The following is a 22,178-nucleotide window of genomic DNA, read 5'->3' on the forward strand; positions in this document are numbered from 1 at the left end:
GGAGACCGCCTCCTACCCAGAGCCGGAGCCCGCAACCCGCTCAGGCGGCGACGGAGCCATGTCGCCGCTGCTGGGGCTCCGGTCCGAGCTGCAGGACACCTGCACCTCGCTGGGACTGATGCTGTCGGTGGTGCTGCTCATGGGGCTGGCCCGCGTAGTCGCCCGGCAGCAGCTGCACAGGCCGGTGGCCCACGCCTTCGTCCTGGAGTTTCTAGCCACCTTCCAGCTCTGCTGCTGCACCCACGAGCTGCAACTGCTGAGCGAACAGCACCCCGCGCACCCCACCTGGACGCTGACGCTCGTCTACTTCTTCTCGCTTGTGCATGGCCTGACTCTGGTGGGCACGTCCAGCAACCCGTGCGGCGTGATGATGCAGATGATGCTGGGGGGCATGTCCCCCGAGACGGGTGCGGTGAGGCTATTGGCTCAGCTGGTTAGTGCCCTGTGCAGCAGGTACTGCACAAGCGCCTTGTGGAGCTTGGGTCTGACCCAGTATCACGTCAGCGAGAGGAGCTTCGCTTGCAAGAATCCCATCCGAGTCGACTTGCTCAAAGCGGTCATCACAGAGGCCGTCTGCTCCTTTCTCTTCCACAGCGCTCTGCTGCACTTCCAGGAAGTCCGAACCAAGCTTCGTATCCACCTGCTGGCTGCACTCATCACCTTTTTGGTCTATGCAGGTTTGTCATTCTCACCAAATACTTGGCACTTCCAGAGCCTCTATGACATGAGGCTGTAAGTTCTTTACTAAAATACATTTGAAACCGTCTATCCCGCTATGATGTAAATGCTGGTATCCCCGTTATTCTAACCATTTTGCAGCCCGTTCTTAACCAGTAGGGCCGACACGTAGAGCCTTCATGCAGTGCTGCTTTGAACACCCAGAGAAAGGAGCCACCTCTGTGCTGAAACTGAGATACTGTGAGATATTGCCAAGGGTTCAGATATCCTACAAAGGGATTGTTTTAATGGTAGAAAGGAAAGATAACTTATTAACTGCCTCTTTCTTCATGCCAAGGTGGTATAGATCGTTTCGGATACTCTTACTGAAAAATGATCCTGGCTTTACAAAGTTCCTTTCGATTTAAAGCACAAGGCACATGATTGGTTAGTATAAGAGCGGAGGGTAGAAATTTTGTAGTTCCATTTTAGTCCTATAAATGATTTAAAGTCATTTCTTATTTCCTTAATAATTCATTTTGAGTTATGAAATTTCTTATTTCCTTAATAATTCATTTTGAGTTATACATGAACTTTTAAGTGACCTATTAAGAAAAATGTTTAAATGATAACTTGCTTCAAATTAAAGATGCTTTTTAAAATATAACTCTTGAGAAATCTGTTGATTTCTTTTAAACCATTTGTTTACTTTGACAGATCTCAGATGCAGTGGGCAATCTAGTCCTAAGTGGGAGGAGGAAATCCAAAACACAAGTATTTAATGATGAAATGTGTCATTTTAAATGATTACAACAGAATATCTTTATTGGGACTACATCTAAATTATAAAAGACTGTGGAGGCAGAAATAACAACAAAGGAAATTTGTGGTAATAATCTTCTGCCCATTAAAAGTGAAACAATGACTAGAAGCAAACTTCAAGATAAGGACTCCTAAACACGTACTTGACCTTCTAGGGTAAAAATGAAAGCCTTCAGCCGGGCGCGGTGGCTCACGCCTGTAATCCCAGCACTTTGGGAGACCGAGGTGGGTGGATCACCTGAGGTCAGGAGTTTGAGACCAGCCTCGCCAACATGGTGAAACCCCGTCTCTACTAAAAATACAAAAAAAATTTAGCCAGGCATGGTGGTGGGCGCCTGTAATCTCAGCTACTCGGGAATCTGAGGCGGGAGAATTGCTGGAACCCGGGAGGCGGAGGTTGCAGTGAGCTGAGATCGCGCCATTTTACTCCAGCCCAGGCGACAACAGTGAGACTCTGTCTCAAAAAAAAGAAAGAAAGCAAGCCTTCCCAATCAATTTCCCCTTCTTTAGGTCTAGTACCACTTTTTAAGTAGACATAAATGGAAATAAGTGGTATAGAAGAGTGAAGGGGGCCGGGCACGGTGGCTCACACCTGTCATCCCAACACTTTGGGAGGCCAAGGCAGGTGGATCGCTTGAGCCCAGGCGTTCGAGACTAGCCTGGGCAACATAAGAGAAATCCCATCTCTCCAAAAAATACAAAAATTAGCCGGGCGTGCTGGTGCGCACTTGTAGTCCCAACTACTTGGGAGGCTAAGGTGGGAGGATCACCCAAGTCCAGGAGGTTGAGATTGTGGTGAGCTGTGATAGTGCCACTGCACTCCAGCCTGGGTTATAGAGACCCTGTCTGTCTCAAAAGAAAAAAAAAAAGAAAAAGAGAAAAAGAGTGACAAGTACAGGCATATTTGAGGGATTGGTGGGTAGTTGCTTATTTATTGAAGTTTTAGATTTTAGCTAAAGCAGAAACATCCCCTGTATATGAACAGAATTGTCACTGCAAAAAGAGTTATGCTATGGTTTAGCTCTTTATTTCTACAATTAAAAGCAGTAAAAACTTAAAAAAGAATTTTTACATCAATAGAACATTAACTACAGTTGGATTTTTCAATACCTATGTTCCTCTTCCCTCTCTTGATTAACCTGAAGTTGATATTCTTTCTGTCTACTTTTAATACATATTTATGATTCCATAGATAATACTGTATATATTAGCCATTCCCTATTTTATCAGTGACAAAAAATTTGAGAGAAGAGACACAGATAATACTTGGAGTTATAGATCCAGTCATAGATATAAGGAAAGTTATTAGAAGTATCTATAAAATATCAACAGATCAAAAACACTGCCCTTTTTTTCTTGAAATGAGGGTACTAATTGATGGGGGAGAGGGAGAGTATAAAGGGAACACTAGAGCAGTGTTTCTCTCTGTATTAAAATCACCTGGGGAGCTCTTTAAACGTCCTTGTTCTGGGCCCACAGATTAAAATCCAATTGCTCTGGCAAGGGGCCTAGGCAGCGGTGTATTGTAAAGCTTCACAGGTGATCCCATTATGAAACCAAGGTAAAGAAGCACTGCTTTAGGAGTCTAGACCTGCACTGTGCAATTCAGTAGCCACTAGCTGCATGTGGCTGTTTACACTTAAATTAACTGAAATTAGATTCAGAGTAGCCACATTTCAAGTGGTCAGTTGTCAAATTGTGCTGTAGCTAGTGGGTACAGGATTGGACAGTGCTAGAGTCTGTTTGCATGGGTAGAACAAAATAGACAATTGTTGATTACTATTAGTTACAGAAATTTATAATGCAGTATGATCTTCCCTTTGTTTGTTTTCTGCCAATATAAGGGAGATAAGAATATTCAGTTGTCAGCTGTTATAGGCCAAGCATTTTGCAAGGAAATTTATGAGAGTTATCTTAATTAATTCTTACAACAACCCATCGGCCGGGCGCGGTGGCTCACGCCTGTAATCCCAGCACTTTGGGAGGCCGAGGCGGGCAGATCACGAGGTCAGGTGATCGAGACTATCCTGGCTAACACGGTGAAACCCCGTCTCTACTAAAAAATACAAAAAAATTAGCCAGGCATGGTGGCGGGTGCCTGTAGTCCCAGCTACTGGGGAGGCTGAGGCAGGAGAATGGCATGAACCCGGGAGGCAGAGCTTGCAGTGAGCCGAGATCGAGTCATTGCACTCCAGCCTGGGAGACAGAGCGAGAGAGCGAGACTCCGTCTCAAAAAAAAACAAAAACAAAAAAAAACAACCCATCGATGAATATATTCTTCCCATTTTAAGTAAAGTAAGTGAGGCCCAGAAAAGTGAAATGACTTATCTAAGCTTACATAACTAGACTGTGTTAGAACTATGGTTCCAACTGGCACTAAAGCTCATACGGATTCATTATCAGCATTTCCACAGTGTGCTCCTCAAAAGTTAACAAAACTATACACAATTGAATATATTCAGCCATAAAAAGGAATGAAGTTATGATGTATACTACAACATGAATGAACCTCAAAAACAATATGCCAAGCAAAATAAGCCAGACACAAAAAGACAAATACTGTATGGCTCTACATATACAAAATATCTAGATTAGGCAACTTCATAGAGACAGAAAGTAGAATAGAGTTACCAGGGACTGTGGGGAGGAGGGAGGAATGGGGACTTATTGTTTAATGGGTACAAAGTTTCTGTTTATGTTATGAAAACCTTTGGAAATGGTGCTGCTGGTGAAACAGCATGGTGAATGTAACACCAATGACTTATACACTTAAAAATGGCTAAAATGGCATACTTTATGGTATATATATATTTCACCATAATTTATACAATTTTTAAGTTACAAAATGATGTTGTTGCCAAATAAATTTGGCAGACACTGGATTAAACAGGTTTTCTAATTTTAAGACTTCATAGAGCCTTTACTATGCTTCTAAGTATTGTGAAACTCCAAGAGGAGGATTTGGAGCACAGTTTTTCAAACTTACGAGATCCTCTTGTCTAGGAGTGTGTAGCAGAAGAGAACATACTTTGGGAAATGCTGCACTAAGTCCCATCTCTCCCTTTTATTTTCTATGGCTATAAGTCATAACTTTGGAACAGAGTTGTTACAAATAGGACTGTCTTGGGACAGTTGGCTAAGTCAGGCATCATTACAAGTTATTATGATATGTCTTTTTTAAGCTTCTAGGATACTACAAGTACAGATTTGACAAAGGTGCACCTTGGGAGATTTCTTTAATCACTTGCATTTTGAGGGCACTGAGAAGTCACCAATACAGGGTACATCAAAATAACTTATGTATTTTAGGATTACAGAACATAAGCATCCAGCAACATAGCCACAGGCTCCTAAGGATAGCCAGTGACCAAGTGTCTGTGTATTTATTGATTTAGCACCCCAAATTTTGATGGCACATGGAGCCCCAGTTATGTCATTGCCATTTATCGTGTATTAACTGGCTCCCCTAATCGTGTAAAAAAAAAAAAAGCTGTGCGATTTATTAACATATTAGAGCTATAAACTGTTAATCAGATTTCAAGCAAATCTTCCTTACTTTGGGTTCTGGAAGAATTTAGTTCAATGAACAGTTTGAGAGAGAGCTGCATTCATTTTTTATGCATAATTAGATATTGAAAAACACCTGGGCCGGGTGTGGTGGCTCACGCCTGTAATCTCAGCACTTTGGGAGGCCGAAGTGGGTGGATCACCTGAGGTCAGGAGTTTGAGACCAGCCTGACCAACATGGAGAAACCCCACCTCTACTAAAAATACAAAATTAGCTGGGCATGCTTGCGCATGCCTGTAATCCCAGCTACTCAGGAGGCAGAGACAGGAGAATCGCTTGAACCTGGGAGGCAGAGGTTGCAGTGAGCTGAGGTCGTGCCATTGCACTCCAGCCTGGGCAACAAGAGCAAAACTCCATCTCAAAAAAAGAAAAAAAGAAAGAAAAACATCTGTTATTTTACACGTCAGTTGTCTTTATTACCACATACTGCTCATTTCTTTCATAGAATTTTAAATTATATTGTTTTCTGACACAATGCCTGTTTTCCTCTACCAGATGACAAGCTTTGAGTCTGTAGACCACATTTGTTTTATTTGTCATAACATATATCAAGATCTTAGCATAGGACCTGGTACAAAGTAAATGTATTTTTAGAATAAGTGAACGAACTAGCAAATAGTCTGTTTACTCTAAAAAACTGTACAGGAAGAAATAATATGGCCGGGCAGGATGGCTCACGCCTGTAATCCCAGCACTTTGGGAGGCAGAGGCAGGCGGATCACCTGAGGTCGGGAGTTCGAGACCAGCCTGACCAACATGGAGAAACCCTGTCTCTACTAAAAATACAAAATTAGCTGGGTATGGTGGTGGGCACCTGTAATCCCAGCTACTTGGGAGGCTGAGGCAGGAGAATCGCTTGAACCCGGGAGGTGGAGGTGGGAGGATCCCCTGAGCCCTGGAGGCGGAGGTTGCTGTGAGCCAAGATCATGCCACTGCACTTCAGCCTGAGCAACAGAGCAAGACTCAGTGTCAAAAAAAAAAGAGAGAAGGGAACATATGTTCTTTTTAAATAGGAGCTATTATCAATTTACAAATGAAAAACACCTTCAAAGGTCCAAAATTTATTTTGTTATGCCAGTATAATATAGTGGTTAAGGCCAGGTGTAGTGGTTCATGCCTATAATCCCAGCACTTTGGGAGACGGAGGCGGGCGGATCACCTGAGTTCAGGAGTTCAAGACCAGCCTGTTGATTCATAATCTGAATCAACATGACCACCCACAGCCTATTCATTATCGTCACTACTCTACTATTCTTTAACCAATTCAACGCCAACATGGTAAAGCCCCATCTCTCCTAAAAATACAAAAATGAGCCTGGCATGGTGGCGGGCGCCTGTAATCCCAGCTGCTTGGGAGGCTGAGGCAGTAGAATTGCTTGAACCTGGGAGGCGGAGGTTGCAGCGAGCTGATATCACACCAGTGCACTCCAGCCTGGGCAACAGAGCGAGACTATGTCTCAATTAAAAAAAAAAAATATATATATATATGTAAATATATATGTGTAAATATATGTGTAAATATATATGTGTAAATATATATGTAAATATATATGTAAATATATATATATATATATATATATATGTATGTAATGGTTAAGGCCAGGTATGGTGGCTCATGTCTGTAATCCCAGGACCGGGACGTCAAGACAGGAGGACTGCATGAGGCCAGCAGTTTGAGACCAGTCTGGGCAACATAGCAAGACCCTGTCTCTACAAAAAAATTTTAAAATTAGCCAGGTATGGTGGTGCACGCCTGTAGTCTTAGCTACTTAAGAGGCTGAGACAGTAAGACTGCTTGAGCCCTGAAGTTTGAGGCTGTATTGAGCCATGATTTCATCACTGCATTCCAGCCTGGGTGAAAGAGTGAGATCTTGTTTCAATTTAAAAAAAAAAAGACTGTGCCCTTAGGCTGAATACTTATTTTGGGCCTCACTTTCCTCATCTCTAAAATGAAGAAATTTCATAAGACTAGTATGAGGAATAATAATTCAAGTTTGTAGCATAGTACCTGCCATACACGAAGTACTTGGGAAATAATTATTATTTATTATTATTATTTCCCTCTATATTTCTAACAGGCTTCCAGTATAATTTGATCATTTTTGCATATAATTTGATCAGTTTTATTGCTCACAACTCCTTTTGGGATAAATTCAGGAAAATGTAAGTTGTAACTTTTATAACGAAATTTGTCCATTGAAAATAAGTAAAGATTTTGGTACAAATCCCTAGGTGTTCCCCACAACATCTGAGAACAGTCTAATGTCATTCTTCCAGGTTTGTAAGAATAACCACTAATTTGAAAACAGGCCAGGCGCAGTGGCTCATGTCTGTAATCCCAGCACTTTGGGAGGCCAAGGTGGGCGGATCGCTTGAGGCCAGGAGTTCGAGACCAGCCTGGCCAAAATGGCGAAACCCAGTCTCTACTTAAAATACAAAAATTAGCTGGGCATGGTGGCTCGCGCCTGTAGTCTCAGCTACTCAGGAAGCTGAGGCATGAGAATCGCTTGAACCCAGGAGGTGGAGGTTGCAGTGAGCTGAGATTGCACCACTGCACTCCAGCCTGGATGACAGAGTGAGAATCTCTCAAGAAAAGAAAACAGCTAGCTAGCTAGCTTAGTTAGTAACATTAGCATATCAGCAGAATACAAACCAGAAATGAAAAGTGGAGTTTGGAGATGCAAACTTTGAAATTATTTGCCCAGTAATGTCCGGGAGTAGAGATTGAATTTGGGGAAAACAAGCAGGCTTGTCATTAGAGAGGTATTTTCTTTTTTTCTTTTTTCTTTTGAGATGGCGTCTCGCTCTGTCACCCAGGCTGGAGTGCAGTGGCGCGATCTCGGCTCACTGCAACCTCCGACCCCCAGGTTCAAGCGATTCTCCTGCCTCAGCCTCCCGAGTAGCTGGGATCATAGGCGCGCTGTAATTTTTGTACTTTTAGTAGAGATGGGGTTTCACCATCTTGGCCAGGCTGGTCTTGAACTCCTGACCTTGTGATCCACCCACCTTGGCCTCCCAAAGTGCTGGGATTACAGGCGTGAGCCACCACGTCTGGCCTAGAGAGGTATTTTCAACTCCTGACAATGATATTTTATCAGAGCTCATCAGGGTATGATAACACTCCTTTTGCTTTGCTTACGTGCTCATTAAAATGGGTTCTCTGGAGAGGGAAGACAAATATTCCAGTTACTAGAAAGCTAGCTTCCACTCTAAATGAATAAATAGACCTTCCAGCTTCTACATGGGTGTTATGTGATATTTAACTAGTATTCTTCTGTCACAGAGAATTTTATTCCCTTTAGGAATATTGAGAAACTTTAGTGCCTAAAATTGCCAGATTTGAGACTTAGCCTCTGGCTGTGGTAATTTCACCAAATCCATGCTGTCCTCTGACTCTTGGCAGTGGACTAGCTGGATCTCCCGGTTATACCTCTTCTTCAACATGCATGATTGTCATCTCCCCTTCAAATGTCAATAAATAGTAACTTGTTTTTTGAAGCCATCTTTTGATAGTTCCATGCCTGATGATTCTTTAAAAAATAATTCATTTTTAATTACACAATACGTGATATGTTCTCTATGTAAAAAATTCAAAGACTAAAGTGCCTTTTGACTGCCATCCTCCATGCCTCCATGCCTGTTTCCTTTCCTTCCCTGTCTACTCTTCCTTCCACGGTAATCCTTGTCTCTGATGTTTGTGTTACAACCTTCCAAACTGGTTGTTTTTGTTGTTGTTTTTTGGGTTTTTCTTGAGATGGAGTCTTGCTCTGTCGCCCAGGCTGGAGCACAGTGGTGCAATCTTGGCTCACTGCACCCTCTGTCTCGCAGGTTCAAATGATTATCCTGCCTCAGCCTCCTGAGTAGCTGGGATTAAAGGTGTCTGCCACCACACCTGGCTAATTATTTTTTTTTTGTTTGAGATGGAGTTTCACTCTTGTTGCCCAGACTGGAGTGCAATGGCACGATCTAGGCTCACTGCAACCTCTGCCTCCCAGGTTCAAGCGATTCTCCTGCCTCAGCCTCCCGAGTAGCTGGGATTACAGGCATGCAGCACCACGCCTGGTTAATTTTGTATTTTTAGTAGAGACAGGGTTTCTCCATGTTGGTCAGGCTGGTCTTGAACTCCCAGCCTCAGGTGATGTGCCCGCCTCAGCCTCCCAAAGTGCTGGGATTACAGGCGTGAGCCACCATGCCTGGCCACACCTGGCTAATTTTTTTTTTCTTTTTGCCCCCGGAGTAGCTGGGATTATAGGCACCTGCCACCACAGCCGGCTAATTTTTCTTTATTAATTATTTTTTTAATTATACTTTAAGATCTAGGGTACATGTGCACAACGTGCAGGTTTGTTACATAGGTATACATGTGCCATGTTGGTTTGCTGCACCCATTAACTCATGATTTACATTAGGTATTTCTCCTAATACTATCCCTCCCCCAGCCCCCCACCCCATGACAGGCCCCACACCTGGCTACTTTTTGTATTTTTAGTAGGGGTTTCACCATGTTGCCCAGGCTGGTCTTGAACTGCTGACCTCAAATGATCCACCAGCCTCGGCCTCCCAAAGTGCTGGGATTATAGGCGTGAGGCACCATGCCCAGCCCCAAACTGTGTTTTTATTTTTATTTTTTTGAGACAGGGCTTCACTCTGTCACCCAGGCTGGAGCGCAGTGGTGCAATCAAAACCTCCGCCTCCCCGGCTCACAAGATCCTCCCACCTCAGCCTCCCGAGTAGCTGGGACCACAAGTACATGCCACCATACCCAGGCAATTTTTGTATTTTTTGTAGAGATGGGGGTTTTGCTATGTTGCCCAGGCTAGTCTTGAACTCCTGGACTCAACCAATCCGCCCATCTCAGCCTCCCAAAGTGCTGGGATTACAGGAATGAGCCATCAAACCCAGGCCCAAACTCTTTTCATGTGCATTTACTATACATATAGATAAAACCCTACAGGAATGATATATTATTACTGTTATTTACTTATTTATTTATTTTGAGACTGAGACTTGCTCTGTTGCCCAGGCTGGAGTACAGTGGCGTGATCTTGGCTCACTGCAACCTCTGCCTCCTGGGTACAAGCAGTTCTCCTGCCTGAGCCTTCCGAGTAGCTGGGACTACAGGTGCACGCCACCATGCCCAGCTATTTTTTTTTTTTTTTTGTATTTTAGTAGAGGTGGGGTTTTACCATGTTGCCCAGGCTGGTTGCGAACTCCTGAGCTCAGGCGATACACCCACCTCGCCCTCCTAAAGTGCTGGGATTACAGGTGTGAGCCACTGCGCCCAGCCAGGAATGACATATTATTATATATATTATTGTATATGCGTATACTTGTGTTAACATTAAAAAGTATCATACCTTACTCAGCAGGCTTTATTCCTGATAGCCAAGAGCCGGAAACAACTATCTGGATGTCCTTCAAGGGGCAAGTAGTTAAACAAATAGTTGGGGTAGTTGTGGAATGCAGAGAAGTGTTTGGAGATATATATTGGAGGAAGAAAGGGCAAGACACAGTCACAGGTCATTTATGACATGGAAGATACAGGATGAGGAAACAATTTGCTTTTTTTGGTGGTAGTTGTTCAACGATACATCTTGTATATCTACCTATGTTAGTAAAGAGATTTCTCTCATTATTTCAAAACACTGCATGATATTCCAAAGTAATAGTAAATTTGTTTAGGGCTGTTTTCCTATGAATGGACATTTAGGTTTTTCCTAGTTCTTTGCTACAATAACCAATCTTGTAGGGCCGGGTGCGGTGGCTCACGCCTGTAATCCCAGCACTTTGGGAGGCCGAGGCGGGCGGATCACGAGGTCAGGAGATCGAGACCATCCCGGCTAAAACGGTGAAACCCCGTCTCTACTAAAAATACAAAAAATTAGCCGGGCGTGGTGGCGGGCGCCTGTAGTCCCAGCTACTCGGGAGGCTGAGGCAGGAGAATGGTGTGAACCCGGGAGGTGGAGCTTGCAGTGAGCCGAGATCATGCCACTGCACTCCAGCCTGGGCGACAGAGCGAGACTCCGTCTCAAAAAAAAAAAAAAAAAATCTTGTATATGTCTTCTCATACACAAATACCAGTGTTTCTCTAGGACAGTAATTCTGAACTTAGGGACAGTTTTCCCCCCAGGGGACATTTTTGGTTGTTACGATGTGGGGAGAGGGAATAGGCCACTGCCATCTGAGTAGAGGCCAGGGATGCTGCTAAGCATGCTGCGGTGCACAGGACAGCTCACAACAAAGAATTATCCAGTAAGACATTAAAGCCAATGCCATGTTTTTAGTTTTTGTTAACACAGAACCCACACCTGACATGGATTTCTGTATCAGTTAACTATTGCTGTGTAACACACCATTCAAAACTTTTTTTTTTTTTTTTTTTTTTGAGACAGGATCTCACTCTGTCACCCAGGCTGGAGAGCGGTGGCACAATCTCGACTCACTGCAGCCTCAACCTCTGCAGGCTCAGTTTATTCTCCTGCCTTAGCCTCCCAAGTAGCTGGGACCACAGGCATGTGGCACCACAACCAGCTAATTTTTGTATTTCTTATAGAAACGGGGTTTTGCTATGTTGCCTGAGCTCATTACAAACTCCTGGGCTCAAGTGATCCACCCGCTTCAGCCTTCCAAGGTGTTAGGATTACAGGCATGAGCCACCATGCCTGGCCCCAAAACTGAGAATAACTTATTTTTCATGATTCTGTGGGTTATAGATGGGCAGTTCCTCTGAGATCTCTCATATAGCTGCATTCAGCTGACCAGTGGTGAGGCTGGAAAGCCCAAGGTAGCCTCACTCATATGTCTGGCAGTTGTCAGCTGTCATCTAAGATGCCTCAGTTCTCTTCCGTGTGGCCTTTCATCCTCCAGCAACCTAGACCAGCAAACTTACATGGTCAGGGCATTCTTCCAAGAGAGCAAAAAGTGGAAGCTGATGGGTTTATTGAGATGTGAACCTAGAATTCACACAGCATCACTCCTGTTACATTCAGAATTCCCATAGCCCTACTCTGCTGCATTCTATCAACACAAGTTGCAAAGCCAGCTCATTTTTAAGAGAGGGAAAGTAGACAACGTCTTGCTGGGAGAAGCAGCTACCACTAAGTCACACTGATCAGAACTGCTGTGTGAGGATGAGAAGATTAGGAAGTGAAGTCGTTTGAGTTTTAGGATGGCATAAGACTGATCAGTGGTGTTCATCTTAGATCTAGTGGAAAATCTTCAGTATACCATGGCCTTGAATACTGAAGTAAACTAAGTGAGGGTAATGATTCAGTCCATTTTTATCAATACATGCCTAAAAGTCACAGGTCATTTATATCATCATAGGTCATATTACATTATATTGTAAATGTCTGTGTGAGTCTTTATCTTTCTGCCCATGGTATCTAGTACACAGGAACTCAATAAGTTTTTGTGTAATCAAACTGAAATGACTAGCTGCCAACCAGACAATTCTGTTCACCCTTAGCAGTGGCAGGTTTAACATTCCAGGATTTGACTGTTCAAGAATGATTCCAAAGGTCTATGATATCATTTATAATTGCTGAGTCATGAATGTGAATCATGCTGTGAGGCTGGTACACTAGAAAAAACTCTTAGCTATTGAGTGAGCTTAGTTCATTGCTAAATATCTTCATCTCAACACAGCTTCATTGTTCTCGGCCTATTCAAGTGTGAAATCTCAGTAGTGAAATCTTATGAAAGGGCCACTTAATTTCCATGAAAACAGGCTACAATGGTGCATGTCAATAATAAAACTTCTGAAGATCTCAGGATCTATCTCTGTGGCTAAGTAAAAGAGGCAGAGTTGTGTGCCTAAGCTTCCACTTGGAAAAACTGCTGAAAATGTCACTGTCTGAGGGATGCTCTTAGGCTGGACTTTGAAAAGCGAAGACACAGCTCTGTGGAGTACTGCTGGACAGGCATCCAGCCTCCTCTTCCATTCCGCACTTGTGTGGCCAGACTATAGACTCCTAGCCCCATGCCAGAGAAATACCCTGGGTGCAGAGCTGGAACACAAATCCTAAAAAGTAGCCAACAGTTATAATTTGTGCTTATCTCTCATGACTACTCACAGTCCCTTCTTAAGGGCTCTGTTGACAAGTAAAAATAGAACCAATGATAAAGCTTTGGTCTATTGGTCCATTTTACCTTTTCAATACAAAGTTATGCTTGTACTCAAGAGGATCTTGGGTCATTGTATCTATTTAACTGTATTTTCATTTTACTTTTATTATTATTCATTCATTTAAATTGACAAATGTTCAGGGCAGCCAAATCTATTTTATAAAACGGTAGGAATAATAATAGAGCACATTAACTTTCAGTGTCCATTTTATAGTCTATAGGAAAAGCACTGGGTTCAAACTTTAATGTCCTCTGTCTTTTTTTTTATAGTAAGTGGCATATTATGATTTATGATTATAGTCTAAAATATGCCAGGTGATTCTGCAAAGGAAGATCACAGACTAAGAATACCTAAAATAAAAGTCACATTTAGTAACCATTTATTTCCAGTTACAAGGAAATGGAAGATAAATCATTTGAAATCACTCTGCTTAAAATCTGTTACAGGAGGAAGTCTAACAGGAGCTGTATTTAATCCAGCTTTGGCACTTTCGCTACATTTCATGTGTTTTGATGAAGCATTCCCTCAGTTTTTTATAGTATACTGGCTGGCTCCTTCTTTAGGTAAGCGTATTTTTATTTAATATGTCTGAAAGATTAGGGTATTTTAAAATATGATATGTGTATATCATTGTAACATGTCAATTTCCAAAGCCACAGCAGGCACAAAACAGAAAATGAAAAAGGTAGCTAACATGCCTGAAATAATACTTTGTGTAGTATCCTTTAAAACTGTTAAAGGTAGTCAGTTTCAGATATGCTATCACTTTAAGAAACCTTAGATCTGAGCACCAAAAAAGCAACGAGTGCTTACTTCCCTTCAAAAATAATCTTTTTTTTTTTTGCTAAAGAAATTTGTTTTTTCACATTTGTGAGCTCCAGATAAAGTATCATTTAGTTCATTTGACTCATTTTGCAGAACAGCATCTCATGAAACAATGAATACCTGTATTAAGTATAGTTTAAAAATTATCCACATTACATTCCTGTTATTTTTATTGTTTTTGTTTTGTTTTTTTTCGAGACAGGGTCTCTCTTTGTCACCCAGGCTTGAGGGCAGCGGCATGATCATAGCCATAGCTCACTGTGCTTGAACTCCTGGGCACAAGCAATCCTCCTGCCTTAGCCTCCTGAGTAGCTGGGATGACAGGCATGTGCCACCACACCCGGCTAATTTTTGTATATTTTGTAGAGATGAGGTCTCGCTATGTTGCTCAGGCTACATTCCAGTTACTTCTATTTAGATCAGATATATAAACTCTTTATAAAGATGGGTCAAATAACACACAAAATTATACAATATACAAAAAATTATTATGCATTTCTTTTGCATTACGTATATAAAGTTATCAGCATTTATTGATTTTGTTTAGTCATCTGTTTTAAGCCTGATTATAACTCATAACTGTAAGTGAATATGAAGATGCTTGGCCCTCCATTAATTCACTCTTCTTTTTATCCAGTTAGCATATTGTTCCTTGTTAGTCATTTTCTTTAAAACACACACACACATACACAGAAGGTAACACAGAAGGGAAGTGCCATAACAGGTTTGAATAGTCAATCACACTTTACTCTTCCTGTTTACCTTCCATTCCTCTATCTCACATTAATGTTATTGTTATGCTCAATATCATATTGTTATGCTCAATATTGTTATGCTCAATAATATCTATAGGCCTAAACATGAAGAATATCAGAGAAAAACTGGTTTTAAATGCTAGTAATATAACTTTTGGTCAGTTCTACAGAGTGCTAGTATTTTCCGATAACTTCTTTAAAGAAAAATTTTCTCTGTTTTTAGGCCGGGCGCAGTGGCTCACGCCTGTAATCCCAGTACTTTGGGAGGCCGAGGCAGGCAGATCATGAGGTCAGGGGATTGAGACCATCCTGGCTAACATGGTGAAACCCCGTCTCTACTAAAAATACAAAAAATTAGCTGGTCGTGGTGGCGGGCACCTGTAGTCCCAGCTACTTGGGAGGCTGAGGCAAGAGAATGGTGGGAACCTAGGAGGCGGAGCTTGCAGTGAGCTGAGATCGCACCACTGCACTCCAGCTTGGGCGACAGAGCGAGACTCCATCTCAAAAAATCCGTTTTTAAATTTTAAAGTTAAAAAGGTCACTAATGTAAAGAAGTTAAGAAGTTAACAAACAAGGTCACTAGTTGGGCAGGCCTACAGGTAGTTTTTATATGAAAAAATTCCCCCAGTATGTCTGGAGACTAACATATATTAACATGATTTATTTGTTAGCGTGCTCCAACTACTATTGTAACAGTAGGCTAAGGCAAAGGTCCCCAAACCCCAGGCTGCAGACCAGTATAGTCCGTGGCCTGTTAGTAACCAGGCCGCACAGCAGGAGGTGAGTGGCAATCAAGCTTACAAAGCTCCGTCTCCTGTCAGATCAGCGGTGGCATTAGATTCTCATAGGAACGTGAACCTTACTGTGAACTCAGCATGTGAGCAATCTAGGTTACACACTCCTTATGAGAATCTAACTAATGCCTGATGATCCAAGGTGGAACAGTTCCATCCCAAAACCATGCCCCCAGTCCATGGAAAAACTGTCTTCCAGGAAACCGGTCCCTGGTGCTAAAAAGGTTGAGGATCTCTGTGTTAAGGAATTATTTCATCCATTACTTGAAAGAACATTAAAAAGTAGCCAGGTAGGCTGGGTGCGGTGGCTCATGCCTGTAATCCCAGCACTTTGGGAGGCCGAGGTGCGTGGATCACCTCAAGTCAGGAGTTTGAGACCAGCCTGGCCAACTCTACTAAAAATACAAAAATTAGCTGGGTGTGATGATGGGTGCCTGTAATCCCAGCTACTCAGGAGGCTGAGGCAGGAGATTCACCTGAACTCAGGAGGTGGAGGTTGCAGTGAGCCGAGATCGCACTACTGCACTCTAGCCTGGGCGACAGAGCGAGTCTCAAAAAAAAAAAAAAAAAAAAAAAAAAAGCACAGTGGCACATGCCTGTAGTCCCAGCTACTTGGGAGGCTGAGATAGAACTGCTTGAGGCCAGGAGTTCAAGGCCACCTTGGGCAACATAGCAAAACCACATCTAAAAAATAAATTTTTTTAAAAAGGGTCTTTATGGAAGAATTTTAAAAAGGAATCTGAAGTAATGACAATCTCTGTAAAAGGACCTTGATTTTTTCTTAGAACACATTTTCCAGCCAAAGCAGCACTTAATGACTTCCTGGAAGAACATACTAGAAGAAAAGCCTCACGATAGATAAAAAAGGAATGCTAAATCTTCTCCCTTTACAGAGCAGAAAGTGTGATAGGTTGGGGAAAGTGACTATATTCTCTTCATGTTAGTGTGGTACAAACAGGAAGATAACACATTATATGTAGCCAAAACATTTTAAAGAACCACTTACCCCCTAATAATCCGAACATTCCCCCTAACCCCGCCAAAAAAAAGCCGAAATCTCTTACAAATAGAAGTGGAATCAAACTTTTTTTGGTCTGGCTGTGTCACCCAGGCTGGAGTGCAGTGGTGCAATCTTGGCTGCAACCTCTGCCTCGCAGGCGCAAGCGATCCTCCTGTCCCAGCCTCCCAGGTAGCTGGGACTACTGGCGTATGCCCCCACACCCAGCTAAGTTTTGTATTTTTTATAGAAATGGGGTTTCTATAAAACCACACCCAGCTAAGTTTTGTATTTTTTATAGAAACGGGGTTTCTATGTTGCTCAGGCTGGTCTCGAACTCCTGGGCTCAGGTGATCTGCCCGCCTTGGCCTGACAAAGTGCTGAGATTATAGGTGTGAGCCACCATACTTGGCTGAGATCAAACATTTTCGAATTCATATGATACTTTTTATATTTAGCTTGTTGAAAATATGTATTCCAAGATTCTCAGTTGGTCTAAGGACCCCTACCTTTTAAAATAGACCCAACATAAAATATTTACTGTAGTTTTGGTTTGAAGAGGCATGTTTCTATATTTCTTTCTGAGGTTTATGAATGAGAATAAAGGCATCCTTCAGTATATGTAGATAAAAGACATGTATGTGAATAAATGATGATTTTTAGAATACTGCATTCCAGCCAGCCATTGAATTTTGTCATATATTGAAGTTACCTTCCCACTGGAAAAAAAATTGGCTCCAAATGAAATAAAGACATAAAGCGACACATTATATAACTCTGAAAAGAATGGGAAAAAATAAATTATAAATTAAAAGAATCATTCAAAGAGTTAAGAGATGAGGAGTCCAAAATAAAAATAAAAACAAAAACCCCAAAACAAACACCACTCAACTACCAAAGCTACATTAATTAGGCAGTGCCAGGGTGCCAGGGGAGTGAGACAGAGGAAAGAGTAATCCCAAGGTATCCACCTTCTTTCCTTCTTGACCAAGCAGGAAGCAAACTATTCTTTGGAGTCATAGTCCATATTCTTTCTTGTTTCTCATCACAGCAGAGATAATTATAATTCCTCTAATGGCCCCTGCCATCTTACCAAATTAAAAATTTAGAAATGTGACTATAAGGATGTATATGTGGCCTGGTGTAGTAGTACATGCATGTAGTCTCAGCTACTCGGCAGGCTGAGGTAGGAGAATCACTTGAGCCCAGGAAGTCGAGGCTGCAGTGAGCCGAGATCGTACCACTGCACTCCAGCTTGAGTGATGGGAGTGTGACCCTGTCTCAAAAAAAAAAAAAAAAAGTATATAGAATTCTCTAGTTTATACATTTCATACAATGAAAAGTAGAAAATTCTATTTGCTTCTATGAAACTGCAATTCTATTTTTGGAAAAAGTTTTAAATGTCTTATTTTCTAGTTCTGACTTTATAAAAAATGACAAAAAAATCTGTGGGTCAGTTAACATAGAGGTTGTTTCTGATTTTTTTTTTTTTCATTTAAAGCCTTTGGTTGCCAACAGACTAATCTCTCACAAATATGTTAAGGTATCTAAGTGGTTGCCAAACCTTAAGGTTTTTTGTTGTTGCAAACAAGAGAACATAATTTCAAATGTGCATGTGACAAAACTTGTTTTCAATCTGAATTTAAACTGATCTAGGGCTTTAAGCCTGAATACATTCAGTTTAAGATGAAAAATTAACCACTGCAGATTTACTTTTCAGGATAGTGACTTGAGCCCTTGGCTCACTCTCCTTAGTCCCTATTTCACATTGAAAAATTAACCAAAAGCTACATGCCAGATTTCTCTGTTGTAATTCTCAGAAATGAAGATTACCAATATGTGAATTTTCAAAACATTTTGGGCCGGGTGCAGCAACTTACGCCTGTAATCCTAGCACTTTGGGAGGCCAAGGGGGGTGGATCATGAGTTCGAGACCAGACTGGCCAACATGGTGAAACCCCATCTCTACTAAAAATAAAAAAATTAGCCGAGCATGGTGGCGGGCGCCTGTAATCCCATCTACTCAGGAGGCTGAGGCAGGAGAATCGCTTGAACCTGGCAGGGAGAGGTTGCAGTGAGCCAAGATCACACCACTTCACTCCAGCCTGGGCGAAAGAGCAAAACTCTGTCTCAAAAACAAACAAATAAACAACAATTTTGTATTATATTTCAGATTTAAACTTCCACCATCGACTGAAATTTTGTTTAGATATTTTATTTGCTTGACACATCTCTAAAACCAGTTAATGGTCAGTTAAATAAGGTTGAGATAAAAATGAAAAAACTGTTAATAGTTGAGATTAATGAAAAAAGAGAGACTGGAGAAAGTAACCTAACATTGTTTTTATTTGAACATTCTAAGTGAAAACTCCGAGTGCTTTCAGTTGCTTTATTCTCTAGGTATGTCCCTGGGGCACGGAGGAAAAGGAGAGTGTTACCATTTTAAAGAGGAGAAAATGAAGACCCAAGTCTAGAACTAAAGAGCCAGAACTAAAACTACATCTTTGGATTTAGTTTATCCTTTGAATTCATTGTTTAGATCCTATTGGTTTTACCAAATGCATACTGTGTTTAAGGATTCACAGTTGAAGAAAAAATAATCTGAGAATAATAGATTTAAATCTGATATTAGATTTAAATCTGAGAATATTAGATTTAAATATCTAACATGTTTCACGTAGAATTGATGTAGCCAATTCTTTAAGCATGGCTTTCCAAACATCTAGGTATATAATTGTAATTTTAAAATATACCCACCTAGTGATTATGAACCTCCTTAAAGATTGTTTTTTTATTTTACTGTATTTTGTCTTTCAGGTATATTGTTGATGATTTTGATGTTCAGCTTTTTCCTTCCATGGCTGCATAACAACCATACAATTAATAAAAAGGAATAACTGTTCCAAAGACTCAGACTAACATACAGGACAGTCCAGCTGGATGTGATAAAGATTTTATCACCTCATATGGAAAACACCGGCTGCACTGGATTCATCAGTGTTAACTTCCTTTGAGGAAGCTGCCTTATAGTTTTCATCACTGGGACTTTAAAAAAAAATTACTGTGAAAATGAGGTATTCTGTACTTCTCAGTTAAGACTTGTTCTTTGAGTGATGTATTAAATGCTGCTAGAAAAGCCTCATTACATTAAATATAAATCAATCTTAAATGATAATTGTTAACTTTGATGAAAAACGAGTACAGGATGAGAAGGGAAGTAAAGGTGATAGTAAGATCAACGAATTTGTGTATCAAGTGTCACCCAAATGAACAGAATTTTTAACTATAAAAGTACAAGGCGTCAACTTACAGAACTGGGGAGAGGATACTTTCAGCCACCACCTCACAAAATGATACCATCAAGCAGTGTCATCTTTCAACAGGAAAGTTGCTTTTAGAAGTAGAATATATATTCACTCACATGCAAGCGATTTCCTACATTTTAAGTACATTAAAATCTAATACCTAAAATAGTTTCTCTAAATAGACAATCTCACTAGCTCCAGCCAAGTGGTTATTCTTTAATAGAATATAATAAAACAAAACACCCATACAAAGTCAGGATTTAAGCTTTTCACATTCTCCTTTGAACCAACAGCTAGCTACCTTATGAAGTAGGGAGGGCATGTATTTTTAATCTCCATTTTACAGATAAGGAAACTAAGCCTAGATGGGTTTGCTGCCCTGGCTTAGATCACATAGAGCCAAATACCATCTCTAGTCTTCAACTTCAATCCAAAAATTCTTCTCGGTCACGATTATGACTAAAGGGAAATCAAGGGTTCATAGAAACATTAAATACTTTATAATAACGTTAAAACTTGTTTAGAAATTAACTAGTATTTTTTGAGGTTTAAAGAACCTTCCAGTTTTACTATATTAGAAGGCTTCTTTTATTGTATGCGGTCTAATTTTTATTAAAAGTTCAGGCCATGAAAGGTTAAGTATGTATCCCTTCAAAGGAAATTCCATTATCAGAGTTAGAATTGAAAGTAAAGGCTGGGCACGGTAGCTCACGCCTGTAATCCCAACACTTTGGGAGGCCGAGACAGGCGGATCACGAGGTCAAGAGATTGAGACCATCCTGGCCAAGATGGTGAAACCTCACCTCTACTAAAAATATAAAAATTAGCCAGGCATGGTGGCGTGCACCTGTAGTCGCAGTTGCCAGGTAATTTAAGTGCTGCTTGGTGACCAGCTTGTAGACAGTCACTCTATTTATACCTGCAGACTGAACAGGTGCAGCCTTTTGCCAAGTCTACCCAACAAGGCAGCCAGCTTTGTATTTTAAAAAGCAGAGTTCGGCCGGGCACAGTGGCTCACGCCTGTAATCCCAGCACTTTGGGAGGCTGAGGTGGGTGGATCACAAGGTCAGCGATTCAAGACTAGCCTGGCCAAGATGGTGAAACCCTGTCTCCACTAAAGGTAGAAAAATTAGTCAGGCATGTTGGTGAGCGCCTGTAGTCCCAGCTACTCAGGAGGCTGAGGCAGGAGAATCGCTTGAACCTGGGAGGCGGAGGTTGCAGTGAGCCGAGATCGTGCCACTGCACTCCAGCCTGGGCAACAAGAGTGAAACTCCATCTTAAAAAAAAAAAAAAAAAGAGTTCACAAATGTGACTAAATGGCTAAATGCAGTCTCTGACTTATTTTATTTGGCCTCACAGTAGTTTTTTTAAAAAGTCGAAATTAAGTAAAATCCATAGTTCTAGCTGCTCTTAGAAAAACTCCAAAGACCTTGCAATACTAGGCCTGAATTCTGCCATACAACACAAAATAATGGTTGTTCCCTTTAAAATGGTCCCGTCTTGCAAACATGAAGCTAAGTTTCACTTACTGTTTCATGGCTGTTTTTCTTATAGGAATATGCCTTTTTACATCTCTAGCATGAGGACTTCTGTGGGTTAAGAAAAATGAGTATTAATTTGTGAAAATGCCTAGCCCTCTGAACTTCCACTGTCAGACTTTGGAGTTTGTGAGTTCTGATGACACTGCTACCTCTATAGCCCTCTCAAGTAGTGGCTCTTTTCTCTCCCACACCTAGTATACCACTGTGCCTGGAGGCAGAGTAGATTTCCTTGTCCTCAATGTCCTCAATGGATGCTTGTCCTCATGGGATGCTGCTCATCCATTCTCCTCTGCTTCTTCCATTAAAAACATGTCATCAGTTACCTGGGTACTTGTTGCAGTCTTCTAGTATACAGTCCCCTCAATTTCCCTTTGTTCCTTTCAGATCTTAGTTCCTGTCTCACTCTCTACCATCACCACAGTTATACTTCTTGGTGACAGATACAAAGATGATCCTTCCAGCTGCACGGCCTTGGAGTTCACTGGATCTCTCCTTTGAAAATTTTGTCTTCTACTTTGCCTCAGCTGCAATTTTGGTGGTAACTTTGAACTTACTTACTACCAATAACTGAAATCTTCTATGAACTCAGACACCCTACTCTCTAACCACTGACCCCTTTTCAGCTCAGTCTCTCTAGGACCCCATCTCCAGTGATCCTTTGACCCCCATGTGGAACTTCTGTCCACTGATAACACCACTTTTTCACATCTCTCACCCCTCTCAAGTACCCTCTTCTCCTTAAGCAGCTTACTTGGCCAGTCATCATCACATGCATACACCCTTAAC

The 22,178-nt window shown here is 41.5% G+C and overlaps 1 protein-coding gene across 2 annotated transcripts, besides 2 other annotated features; it reads left to right on the forward strand.

Moving 5' to 3' along the window:
* AQP11 (aquaporin 11) lies at positions 19-20,422 on the forward strand. 2 transcript variants are annotated; one of them, NM_173039.3, is made up of 3 exons: positions 19-677; positions 13,622-13,738; positions 19,364-20,422. In NM_173039.3, the coding sequence occupies exons 1-3, from the start codon at positions 59-61 to the stop codon at positions 19,441-19,443; spliced, it is 816 nt and encodes a 271-aa protein (NP_766627.1). In that variant the 5' UTR covers positions 19-58; the 3' UTR covers positions 19,444-20,422. The 2 variants fall into 2 exon arrangements, with proteins under 2 accessions (NP_766627.1, NP_001350406.1); NM_001363477.2 differs by lacking the exon at positions 13,622-13,738.
* Positions 4,277-4,477: a silencer, noted in NCBI's record as "peak1362 fragment used in MPRA reporter construct". NCBI's record gives its function as "represses an SCP1 promoter by STARR-seq MPRAs in K562 erythroleukemia cells {active_cell/tissue: K562}" and the evidence as "EXISTENCE:reporter gene assay evidence [ECO:0000049][PMID:32103011]".
* Positions 15,303-15,842: an enhancer, noted in NCBI's record as "NANOG hESC enhancer chr11:77316282-77316821 (GRCh37/hg19 assembly coordinates)". NCBI's record gives its function as "activates a minimal SCP1, AML or CMV promoter by ChIP-STARR-seq in primed H9 embryonic stem cells {active_cell/tissue: H9 hESC(primed)}" and the evidence as "EXISTENCE:reporter gene assay evidence [ECO:0000049][PMID:30033119]".
* Positions 20,423-22,178: the final 1,756 nt, after the last annotated feature.

The sequence above is a fragment of the Homo sapiens genome, chromosome 11 (genome assembly GCF_000001405.40).
Source record: "Homo sapiens chromosome 11, GRCh38.p14 Primary Assembly".
In the NCBI taxonomy this organism is placed as follows: domain Eukaryota; kingdom Metazoa; phylum Chordata; class Mammalia; order Primates; family Hominidae; genus Homo; species Homo sapiens.

Excerpts from the sequence above, each read along its gene's own strand:
- AQP11 (NM_173039.3), top strand. The coding sequence starts at position 59 with ATGTCGCCGCTGCTGGGGCTCCGGTCCGAGCTGCAGGACACCTGCACC. Across the intron at positions 678-13,621 it reads CACCTTTTTGGTCTATGCAG|GAGGAAGTCTAACAGGAGCT; the intron begins GTTTGTCATTCT and ends AATCTGTTACAG. Across the intron at positions 13,739-19,363 it reads CTGGCTGGCTCCTTCTTTAG|GTATATTGTTGATGATTTTG; the intron begins GTAAGCGTATTT and ends TTTGTCTTTCAG.